This window comes from Homo sapiens, chromosome 15, assembly GCF_000001405.40.
Source record: "Homo sapiens chromosome 15, GRCh38.p14 Primary Assembly".
Classification (NCBI taxonomy): Eukaryota; Metazoa; Chordata; class Mammalia; order Primates; family Hominidae; genus Homo; species Homo sapiens.
Window position 1 is genome coordinate 26078445 of NC_000015.10, and position 12500 is coordinate 26090944.

At 41.8% G+C, this 12500-nt stretch overlaps 1 long non-coding RNA gene and 1 other non-coding gene across 3 annotated transcripts in view, besides 1 other annotated feature; both read right to left on the reverse strand.

Moving 5' to 3' along the window:
• Positions 1 to 3789: 3789 nt before the first annotated feature.
• TRE-TTC2-2 (tRNA-Glu (anticodon TTC) 2-2) lies at positions 3790 to 3861 on the reverse strand. Its single transcript has one exon. It is a non-coding gene; the product is annotated as a tRNA-Glu (tRNA).
• Positions 4099 to 4168: a silencer, noted in NCBI's record as "silent region_6266". NCBI's record gives its function as "represses an Ori minimal core promoter by ATAC-STARR-seq in GM12878 lymphoblastoid cells {active_cell/tissue: GM12878}" and the evidence as "EXISTENCE:reporter gene assay evidence [ECO:0000049][PMID:35858748]".
• Positions 11187 to 12500, reverse strand: part of LOC105370739 (uncharacterized) — a 53368-nt gene continuing 52054 nt past the window's right edge. For both annotated transcript variants that reach the window (XR_932004.3, XR_932005.3), the window contains one exon: positions 11187 to 11531. This is a non-coding gene — a long non-coding RNA (uncharacterized LOC105370739). The remainder of the gene's footprint in view (positions 11532 to 12500) is intronic.

Consider the following 12500-nt stretch of genomic DNA (forward strand, 5'->3'; position numbering starts at 1 on the left):
TTGACTGAAACGTGGACTTAACAGTGACCACTTTCATTGGGGTTTGTAATGTTGTACACCCATGGTGCGAGGTGGACTAACACTTTTAAAGGCTTAGGCACACAGTTACATTGGAGTGAGATTTATCAAGTGTGACCCACAAACCTGCCCATTCACTGCATTTCCCAGATGGGACCAGACTTTCTTCATTAAAGTGTTGAGAAATGCATTGGTGAGGAGAGCACCAGATGCTTGAAAACTCTTTTGTAGCAATCTTCCATGAGCCAGGTTGGTGAGAAAATCCACAGTGCTTCCTGGTTCAATGGGAATCACGGAATCTCAGAGTGGCAGGGTCTAAGTATTAGATACAGCAAAACCACCAGGAAAAAATGGGCTCAGTTACGGAAGTATTGATGGGGCAGCAGGGATCTTTGGCAGTGATGTCCTAAGAATGAAATAAATGGGTGGTCTACCGAATGATTGTTTGATATATGCAATTTTATTTGATTGATTTCTAATTTTTTAAGAGACAGGATCTTGCTCTGTCACCCAGGCTGGAGTGCAGTGGCCCGATTATAGCTCACTACAGCCCTGAACCCCTGGCTTCAAGGAATCCTCCCACCTCAGCTTCCCAAAGTGCTGGGATTATAGATCTGAGCCAGTATGCTCGAGTGGTCTATGCAGTTTTAAAACTCTAAGTCTGGTGGCCAGAAACATGACTCGATTTACTGGAATGGAGATGTTTTGTGTCATCCAGTACCAAGAACTGAGTCAGCTCACAGTCCAAAGTTCCACTGGAGGAAGGGGAGACTTGGTCTACTTGAAGAATGGCCCCTCTACACTGCAACAGGAATATGTTGTAAAGATCCCCCTTCCCCATTCTCCAGAGGACCTGTGGTCATTTGTTCTATTAATTTACACTGATTTTGATGTGGCACTGCTTCAATCCCTTGCTGCAGGTAGGAAGCTCAGAATTTTTATTGTTATTTATTCCTCCTTCTCTTCCAATACTTTTGTGTGGTTCCTTGGAGCTTAGTAAGTAAATGATGTTTTGGCCTCAACCTATCTCAGCATGGTTCCTGTGGGTTGCAGACCAACCTGATTCCATTATGTACAATTCAGATATACATACTTGGCAACTGACATTATTGTAGTGCTCCCGGAATCTTGGAGTGAGGACTACTATGGTGAGAAAAGACAAATGGTGTTCCCAGAACTTCCCCCTTCTTATCAAAATGGTAAAGCCAAAGTGATCCTGCTTCCCAGAGGGAATCAGAGAGATTTGTGCCACCAACAAAGACTTGAAAGATGCAGAGATTTTCCTATCATCTACCCAATTATTCACTTGTCCACTTGACCTGTGCAAAAGACAAACAGATCTTGAGAATAACTTGACTCATGCACATTTACAGCCCCCTTCACCTTGCTAACTCATCCTTCAGGTCTCAGCTGAAATATCATTTCCCTGAGAAACTTCTCTGACACATAGAATAAGTTGTGCACACCCTCCCCCTCCCCCAAAAGTCAGTAAGGCTGAGCGCATAATGGTAGATGACAATTTACACAAAAATAACACTTGCATAGGTTGGTCTAAAGCCAGGAAAACAGATACTTCAAACAGGTAAATCTAACAGAGGAAATTGGTTGCTAATTTTTTTTGAGGAGCTAGAGGAGCAAAAGGGGCTAACAATTAGATTATTCAGCTATTAGTAACTGCAGATGCCACCATTCACTTAGGGTTGAAAGAACAACAAAGGAGGATGGTATTACCTGCAGGTAGGAGTTTGCCATGCAAGACCTCTGCTGGGCACACCATTGCCACTGGGACCACACCACTGTCAAATCCACTTATGCTCTGCTGAAGCTTCCTGGCTCGTGGAGCCCACGGCTGCCCACTACTGCCACTGCTAGTGGCTCTTAGCTGATGACAATCCCTGTCAGAATGTTCAGTGCCACTGGATTGCATAGTTGCTGGCAGCCATCAGGGAATGTCTGCTGCCAAGGACACCATCAGAAGCTCTGCTTTCTTGATATATTCCAATCTTCCAACAGAACCTCCCTGGGGCAGGTGCTAACCCGATGTCTACTGGAAAGGGAGTCTGGGGAATGGGGTTTGCAGAGATCCAGGCCCCTCAAAAAGGAGAATACTATAAAAGATTCTAAAGAGGACACAAACAAATAAGAAAATGACCAGAGCAGTCAACCCTTTTGGCTACTTGGCATCCATTCCCAGCCTTCCACTTGAGTTTCATTTCTGTACAATACAACGCTCAGAGTAGCTTGCTGGATTTATGAAACAAGTGAAACATTTTCATCTACTTTTTCAAAAGGTGGGGCACAAAGTCCCATCTATAGCTGTCCCTGAAGCCAACCCTGGATGAGGCTGACAAGTTAGTTCTGGCCAAAGCCAATGGTACCCTGGAGTTGTGTAATGGAAGTGGGAATGGAGAGTTGCCTCCCACTCCCACTACACAATCTTTTAAGATTGAGTTTTTGTGTGTGTGTGTATGTGTATTTTAGTAGAGATGGGGTTTCTGTAAAGCATCCCCTGTAAGTATGTCTCAGATGGCAACCAGTATGAGAGATATTTACAGGAGAAGTTTTTCAGAACTCAATCATAAAAGAATTGTCATATGTCACATAATAGAAATGTCTAATGCAATAATTGCAAGGATTCAAATGATCTTTTGGACCAAATCTTATATTGCCTCCAACACAAACTGAGAGCATAGAATTAAAATTCGGTCAAGGAATGGAAGTGACTATCTCTGCATGAATAATACAATTTCCCCCCACATAAAATCGTATCCCTGTCTGCAACCCATGCTGTTGGTTTATCAATGGTCCAGGCTCTCACTGGTTCATGTTCATGCTTTCTTGACGGATTTTGATTTTGATTTTGATTTTGATTGTCCGAATTAGGCTGAAGCATCAGCATTGGGAGTAGTCACAAGTTGGTCAATCCAAGTGAGTGGCACAATGATTGTTTCAAACAATAGAACTTTCAAAGGATGCCCCTGCCTGTTCTGGAAGCGGTTGGCTCTCCACTACTCACACAGGCTTACATTATGGTTAAGAGTATCCAGGCCTAAGCACGGAAAGAAATATTTTAATCCCATTTGGGAAATGGCTTAGAAGCTAAGAAAGTTTCAAGAACTTTCTACCTCTGAAAATGTGCATTTGCTAAGAGTATTGACCTCAACTTAGCCACATGTGTGATTCTATCCAGAGGCTGATCCCGTGCCTCAGTTTCCCCAACTTCTGTGAAAGCTGACTTGGTGAATGGGATCTGGTTTCTGTCCTTGCCCTCTACGTCCCTGTGCAAACCTCTACTGAAGCTATATTTCTACTTGCAGACCTCTCACTTCTTTATATCCCAGCCCTAGTGACTCCTGCTTCAGGAAGCGCCTCCCCTCCCTTCTCAGTCCTCAAAAAACTTCAGAGGGAGGCTCCTGTGGCATGGGATCTTCCATGCTCCTTCTTGTCCCTCCATCCTGTTCACCATCTCGCTATCTGCCGGCCGGAAACACTCACTGGGGGCATAGAGAACAGTGAATTGCCTAGAACGTAAGAATTCCTTTGTAAGATTTGACCCCTAAATATTATCATTTGTTGTGAAAATTTGGTATGCAAACACAGCAATGCTGATTACACAGCCCGTTTTGCCGGGGTTGTGACCTACGAGGTGAGTCTTCAGGTCTCCACACATCCTTAAGGATTATGTAGCTTTTCACAGTCGTGTTTTTAAGCTTCTTGCTAAGGCTTATAAATTTACGAGTTTCACTGTGTTCCAAAAGAAAGGTCCAGTCATTCCCACACCGGGAGTCGAACCCGGGCCGCCTGGGTGAAAACCAGGAATCCTAACCGCTAGACCATGTGGGAGATGACAAGTAACCGTTGAATTCTAAACCAATTGAATCATTTCCGCCTGCCCTTGCTTTCCGCCTTCTGCCACGCCTCCGACAACAAATCCCTGTCTGCGCCTGCGCCTGCGCGGGCTTTCGGTGCTGACCGCTTGTTGATAGAGGTGTGCTCCTTCTCGAAAGGCGGAGGCAGGGCTGGGCGCTGTGGCTGCTGGCACTACCCAGTTCTTCAGCAGCGCTGTGCCTGGAGGCCCCCAGCCCCTCGCCCCCCGGCTCGCGGGAGGCGGCACCAGACCTCCTCAGGCCCTGGTCCCTAGGAAACTGCAGCCCGGCCTCAGTTTCCAGAAAGCTCCTCCGTGCGATTTGGGAAGAGCACGGTTTGAATGGTTGAAAATAGAGGGGCTGAAGAACCGAGCCGCGCGGGCCTGGCTCCGGGGCTGAGTTCCCTAGCGGGCGCCGAGCGGAGCCTGCCATTAGACCCCATTTTGCCAGTCAGGCCATTTTAACTGAAATTTTGCATTTAGATTAATTCTAATTTCGTGAGCCAAGCCCGAATGGATGAAACCCCGAATAACCCATAGGACATGTTTTGGAGCGAAAGGCCTTCCGAAACTGCGGGCTTTAAGATCTTGTTCAGAGAGCATGCTCTTTGCAGGGACGTGGTTGGAGCTGGAGTTCTTTATCCTCAGCAAACTAACGCAGGGAACAGAAAACCAAACACCGCATGTTCTCACTTGTAAGTGGGAGCTAAATGATGAGAACACATGGACACATAGAGGGGAACGACACACACTGGGATCTATGGGAGGGTGGAGGGTGGAGGAGGGAGAGGATCAGGAAAAATGGGTACTAGGCTTAGTACCTGGGAGATGAAATAATCCGTACAACAACCGCCCATGACCCAAGTTTACCTACGTAAGACACCTGCGCGTCCTGCACATGTATCCCTGAACTTAAAAAAAAAATCTTGTTTAGGGATGGCCTTACATTATTAAAACAAAAATAAAAACAAAACACCTAAAATCATACGGGAAGAACCCACTAATTGCACTATGGTAACAACACTTCCATGGCCAAAAAAAAAAAAAAAAGTAAAAAACTAAACTGCTGAATGGCAGATAAACATGTAAAACCCATAAAAGAAAAAAAAAAGAGACTGATATTAAATAGATCAGAAACTACACATGAATGATAATAAGACAAACACTGCTATATTAAAGTGAGAACTTAATGAGACCAGGCCCTTCATGGAGAGGAAGCCTATGGCTAAAAGGCATTTGAGAAAGATCTCAGCCTCACTGATTGACAGCCAGCATTTGGCCAACAAGCAAAAGTGTGGAAATGTCAGGTACCGGCAAGCATGTGGAGAAAAGGAATTTCCTAGAAACTTGTAAAGCTTGATCAGGGAGGGAGATTGTCAGGATTTCCTAAACGTGCCTATGATCAAGCAATTCCATTTAAAAATTTTTTGCAAAACCAGTATGGTTCTGGAACTGCTGTGCATACACGGAACACGAAGAAATACTGCTTTGAAAATACCTGTGTCAGACACAGCCTAAGGCACAGTAGCACTACCACACTGCAGCCGGCAGAACCGTCCTAAGCAAAAAGCACAAAAGGATGGAGGGGTTAAGAGATTCTTAATTTCAGCTGTAAGAATTTCAAAGGTCTATGTGATGAAATTAAATAATTCTTAAGTATTTCAAACGTTTATGGGATGAAATCACTATAAACAATGCAACAGCCAGCCCTAGGCTGGGAGAAAATATTTGAAATATGTTTGATAGGAAAAGGTGACTATCCTTAAGGCACGACTGAATCTAAGCATGCAAGAAAAACCCACAGAAGGGGCTGAGGCTGTGAATAGAGGATTTAGAGGAGAGGGGTTCTGATTGGTCAGCAAATGGGGGCTGGAGCCAGCTCTACCTTGCTGGTACCATAGCAACACAATTTAAAGCAGTTCTAAAATATCCAGCATTAGGGAGGAAGTGAGGCCACAATCTCAGACAATGACAATAGGTACAGCCCGTTTGGGGCAGGAGCAACCTGACAATTACCTATCAAAATAGGAAGGTGCACCTTCAATCTAGAAATTTCAATTCAGTGTTGCCCAAGGCCAGGAGCCCTGTGATGGCCAGGTCTTAAAGGAGTCAGTGTGAGGGGACAACTCTGGGCAGTAGCAAGCAGTGGGGACTTGGGAACCCTGAGGCCTCTACATCCTGGTCTGCTGCTCCTACACCAGGACAAGGCCATTCACCTTTCTGACAAATGAATAGAGCGGCTGGCTTTCTCCTGCTGTGCTGCGCAGTTTTGCTGGGAATCGCCTGCCCAGGCAGAGGCGGTCTTCCCCAGCTGTTTCTCTCTCGGTGGTGCCATGGATGGATAAGGGGTGAGTGTTGATTCCAGGCCCAGATGCTTAGACAACTGGCGATCCTTTCCCACTCTGCTAGTCCACTACCTGAATGTAGAGGATTCTGAGGCTGCAGGAGGAGCCAGCGCCACAGATGGAAAGAGAGCGGGTCCCTGAGTCACTGCGTGGAAGCCCCTTCCAACCACCAATGAACACATCGGGTTTTTAAAGCTAGAAATAAAGTTTTATTGCATTCATCATTTAAATTTGGGGCTTGTTTGTTATCACTACCCTAAGCGACACAACAGGATCGTGGAAAAAGGGCAAGCACCACAAAAATGAAACAAATGTTCTAGTAGATGATTACGTGCCTTAGCAATGATGGGGGTGGGGTGGGGAGACATGGGGGTAAAGTATGGTAGAAACTGAAGTACAACAAGAAGGCTTGAATAGTTTGCTTCATTTTACAGAGAAGTATATCAGGATCCTTCGCTTCAGTTTGGTAATATTAATCCAAATAATTTTTAAAAATAAGAATTAATCATACATTTCTATAATTTATTGGACACTTGATGTATTTTAATAATTTAGAATTTAGATTTCAGAAATGTTTAGATCTGAAAGATAACTGGGGATTGTCAAGGCTAGAACCTGAAAAATATCCAGGAGGTAGAAATCACTGGCCCCAAATCATCCAACTGAGAGATTTAGTGAAATCCTTTTAGCAGATCATCCTGTATTGGTCCCATGATAAAAATAATATTGGAATATGATGAAATGAATGAAAGTCTAAACAGCATTTTTTCCATCAAGGAATGGAAAGTTCCATGACAACAAACATTCTGAACCAGTGTCTATTAGTTGTAATTTGGGTGCTATATTATTACTGGTAATCAATGGTTTATTAACTTGAGCAACCTGAGAGTTAAAGTAGAATAATATGGATTGTGTATGTGTGTCTGTGTGTATATTCATGTGTATAAGTTTCCTCCCTCTTTTGAAGTCAGATGTCCCTGGCATAAATGCTACTTCTAAAAGCTGACTAGTGCTGGGCAGGAGAATCGCTTGAACCTGGGAGCAGGAGGTTGCAGTGAGCTGAGATCGTGCCACTGCACTCCAGCCTGGTGACAGAGCAAGACTCCGTCTCGAAAATAAAAATAAAATAAAAATAAAAATAAATAAATAAATAAAAGCTGACTAGCTAATTTTTGGAAAAACTACTGAACCTTTGAATTTGAATTTCCCTCTATAATAAAAAGAGTCTCTGTGAGAGCACTGAGTCCTTGCGAGGGTGAGTTCTTAGTATCATGCCTGAAATGAAGGTAGTACTTACTGTGGGTTAATTGCCAGTGTCCACTCTCACCCTACAAATGTTCTGTGGAAAGCCTCAGTCTGGCCACCTCCACTCAACTACTGAACAGGGGTTAGCAGGGACCCATGGCTCCTCCAGTGACAGATCTTGTGGATGATCACTTCTCCAGTGGTGTTTGGTTCTGACTGAGCAAATTACCTGCATTTCACCCCATTCTGTCTGCCCAGACCTCTGTAACAGTATCATCCCCAGAAAGCTGAAGGGACTTGCTTAAGTGCACACAGCCAATTTGGCCAAGCTGCTGGGAAAGATATCGTGTGTTCTCTGTGTGTACATGTGTGCTTTCCTCTTCAGCTCTCTTTCTTTTGCTGGAATCTGGCAGTGCTTCTTGTCTTTATTGGTTATTTGATAACTGTTTAAGGCCTTGTGGTTTTTATCATCTTTAAGCCAATTAATCAGAGCTCTTTCATATGTAAACATCACATGTGCAACACATGTAAATACACAGAAAGACAAAAGAAGGTCCAGTAGTTGTAAGATTTTTCATTTGCCAGTTTTTAAGTTTCTTAAATGTATGTTTTCAAAAACCTTAAATTGAATGCAAGTTCCTTGGGTAAGAGTCATGTCTGCACTGGTTTTCTGCCCTGTCCGTGGAAAAGCATGGAGCGTAGTACACAGGTGAAATGCAACTACTTTTTTTTTTTTTCTTAAAGAAAGGGAGTCTCACAGTCTTGCACAGGCTGGAGTGCAACAATTTTTTTTGATAGGTTTATTTCCTTTTTAATGATAGTTAAGGTTGTAGAAATAATTTTTGGCAAGTCCAACTTTCTCAACTCATGTTAAATAAATGTGTCCAGTGGGGAAGGAAGATGATGACTACCCTTATTCTTGCTCTAACAAACACACAAAACAAAACAAAAATTGACATTGCTTCCAGAGAGTGTCTTTGGTGGTTCTCTAAGCCAAGCAAAACTTCTATTTTAAAAAGTAACTGTTTAATTATATTAGCTTAACCTCATGAAATTGTCAAGAATCCACTGGTTTTGACTTACTACAATGGAAATTTCATATCGTTCAACTTAATTCCTCTACCCCTAACTGTGAGTGTCAGATCTACCTATTATATTAACAGGGGAGACTAAATGGAAAGCTCACTGTTTAATTAAAATCTGAGGTTCTCCAACATCAATAAGAACAGCAATAACAACAAAAAATTGTACTTGCTTCCAAAATTACAGATACTTTGATTTTTAAAGTGAAAGAATATTTCAGGGGAAAGAGACATTTAACTGATGGCAATTAAAACATTTTATTTTGCATATTTTTACAAAAACATATGACTCTAAGAAGATATTCCGGGAGCTACTCCCAGGGCTTAGAAAAGGCCGGAACAACTGAGGTTCCCGGAAGCTTAAGCCTCATTAACTTTGTGAGACTTCACCTCCGGCTGAAAGGAAAGAGTTAAACATTCCTGTCAATGTTCTCCCTTAGGTCCTATTATCAGTGAGTGTGGGTCTTCACTGGGTCCCTCCAGAACTGTTGGATAGGCTTCCTCGCTGGTCTCTCATGCCCCAGGTTTGTCCTCTGTCTAATACGATTAGGCAAGTCCACAGTTTAAAACCCTTTAATGGCATTAATCATATCAGATCACGTTCAAATTCCTTAGCAATTCGGGAAGGTTATTAGCATCTGACTCATGCCCCAACCCACAGCCTCACTTCTCTGCTTCAGATCCTTGAAGCTTCTCCTAACACACCCAACTGCTTGAAAACATTTTTCTTTTGTCTGATTTGTTTCTTCCTAAAATCCTTTCTTTCCCCTATTTTATGCATGTTATTTGTCCATTTTTCTCTACCTAAGAAATGTGTACCTGTCAGCAAGACTCAGCTTGAATGTAACTTCATTATAGAAGCACTCCTAAATAAATGAATAGTTCAAAAAAGAAATCCTCCCGGAATTGACTTCTGTGCCATGGTGCCTCCATCCCCATCCCAAGAGGATTATTCTCATCATACCACTGATTAAAAAAAACTTCAGCTGAATTAAATGTAAAGGGGTTTAAGCAATGAATGATTCATGAATCAGGCAGCCTCCTGAGCCAGAGTAGACTCTGAGACTCCAGCACAGCCATGGGGTGGAAGAAGACTGATGGACAGAAAAAGGAAAGTGACACACAGAAAATGGAAGTGAGGTACAGAAAGAGCTGGATTGGGTACAGCTTGGTGTTTGCCTTATTTGAACAGTTTGAACAGTTGGCTACATTTGATTGGCCAAAACTCAGTGATTGGCACAAGTGTAGGCTGCGGTCTGTTTACACTTCCACTTGTTGTAGTTCACCATGTGCAGAGAAACCTTTAGGCTGAACTTAAAATATGTAAGGAGGCAGCTTTAGGCTAAACTTGATTTAACAATTTCACCCCAAATTAGAGAGATCAAAACTTTAGTCATTGATGTCACTGTAACCATTGTAAATATACTTATTTGGTCTTTAAACCCACTGGGAAATGGTAGAACAGTGGGTTTTGCAAGGTAGGAGCAAGGACTGAGTAGAAGGTACCTCCTTATGCTGGAACGTCCTGTTTACAGGAGAAAAACAAAACCTGATCTGTTCTAGGATCTGTGTGTTTCCTTAAAGTCTTAGTTTGATTACATCACATTTAACGTGAGTGACTCCATTTTGGTTTGGTCTGGTCCTTTTGGGGCCTAGTGCATGAGCTCAGTCCAAAACAATGGCCTCTCATAATTTTGTTTAAAAATTCCTCCTTTTGGGTCAGGTTCTCACTTAGGTGAAAGTGTGACCAAAACTAAGGGCTTTAGTGCCACTTTCAGTACCATCAGTTTGGGTTTCTGGTCTCAATGTGGTCATTCATAGGTTACGATGTCGTCATGGTCACACATTTCTTTCAGTTCTTGTCATTCCAGTTGAAGAAAGACCATTTGACATTTTAGAGATGGCTGCATGCAAACATTTAAAACTTTTGAGAGAATACAGCATACCAGGGAGACTACTATTATAACTATCAGGGGGATAATAGCAAGAGTTTGGAGTATCCTCCCTACCCAAGACCCCCATAAACCAAATCACCTAAAATTAAATAGATCAAAGAATGAGCTAAAGAGTCGACTTGCTTAATTAAGTGGTCTCTTTGCTAATCCTTTACAACTGAATCTCTGTAATCTACTTTTGATATATTTCTCTATAGGCCACAAGTGTCAACAGTGACACAGATAGTTTTCTGTTTAGCCAGTTCTATTATTTAGCATAATTTTCACAAGATAATTTAAAGTCTGCTGTGTAACCATGGCTTTTACAGTAGAATCTGCTATAGAGCCTATCATGAGGGAAACATTTCTCATCATTGCCTTTTTTACTCGAAACCATGGAAAAAAGGACCTAACAAATGATGCCCTTCTAGAAGAGTGAAGCTCTCCTGGTAATGTTCTCTTTAACCCATGATGTGGGTTAAGAGGAGTGAACCAATGCTCTGTTTCTGACTGATTACGAGGCAAAGTGTGTACCATTAAAGTTTCTGTTTCTCACCTACATCGGGCCTTCATCTTTCATCTGTCAAGATATAAGGTTATCCATGTATAAGGCTGGCTGCAAAATCCTTCATAACTAAAAGTATACCCCATGAGTGCACACAACAGACCCCTTTTCCACTTGTATTGTTCATACAGGCATAAGCAAGGGGAAAAGTATTCAAAGATAAGAGTCTCATGATAATAGAAGTCTTGATCTGTGATGTTGGGAAAAGCTTTTTGCATCAAGGATGCCATCTTCTTCTTAGGGAGAAACTTCCCTGGTTAGCTTTACCTTAAGGGTTCCAATGGGTGTACAGTTCAACAGTGTGGAGGGACCCTTCTCAGTTGTGAGATTATGAACCCAAGGCTCGAGGTCCTGAAGTTTTACTGCAGTGAGGATGGCTAAAGCAATCTTTCTCTGATGTCTCAGAGGATCCAATCTTCGGGTTCTAGATTGTGAAGGAGTTGATTGTCCTCAGTGAACCATAAAAAGTTTTTTTGCCTGTGACATAATTATTGTTATAACATCAGTCCTCTTGCATGGTAAAGCTTTCATACAACCAGAAAATATTCACTGAAAATGACAATTAAATGAAATCCCTCCATAAATGTTTAAATGACCCATTGGGTAGCCAAATGTACCTGAAGCTTTGATTGTCTTCCCAGGAGTATAGGTTTGAAAAACCAAACATTGGTCATAAACTATTTTAGCAATTTAGAATTCATGCCAATGTATATTTAATTTGGGTCATTTTATCTTTTCTGTGATGAGTCATGGAATGCAGAGCTTTTAATAAAATCTTTAAAGAGTCAGAAAGGACAAGGTGACTGTCCTGGTTCTCCATGAGTCCATGCTTAACATTGGACTTATGTCTTCTCGAATACCAGTTACTTCTCCAATTTAGATACATAATGCTGATAACTGATGGGTTAACATAGGTAATTTGACTTAGACCATGGAGTTCATTCAATTTGTATATCTAAACAATTTCAGTATTGGCTGATTTAGCGTGAAAATCTTGCAAAGTATTTTCTTGGTATTCAATTAATTTTTATTTTACTTGGGTTAGCAGTTTTGTAACCCAGTCAGTCTTTTCATTAAAGTTCCAGGAATTATTACCCAGTCCAAATGATATGATTTTAAAGTTACCAGAAACCTGTATACAAGAGTGATTTTCAGGGTCTTTTCCATCCTTTCATGAACCTCCCAAAAGACACCATATTCTAGGATTTGGTGTGCTTGTGAAGTTTTCAGAAACTGCATCAGCATTAAGCAATTAACTGTGGAAATGGCTTTAAATAGTCATAATTAAAGCCACACTTGACAAGGAAATTTGGTTATTTCTGTGGTCTAAAATAACTTAACATATTATGATTGATAGCATATACCAGACATATTCGAATTTTAGCAATCCCATACAATTTTGGAACATATATTAACATCATTCACTAAAATATAACATGAAGAATG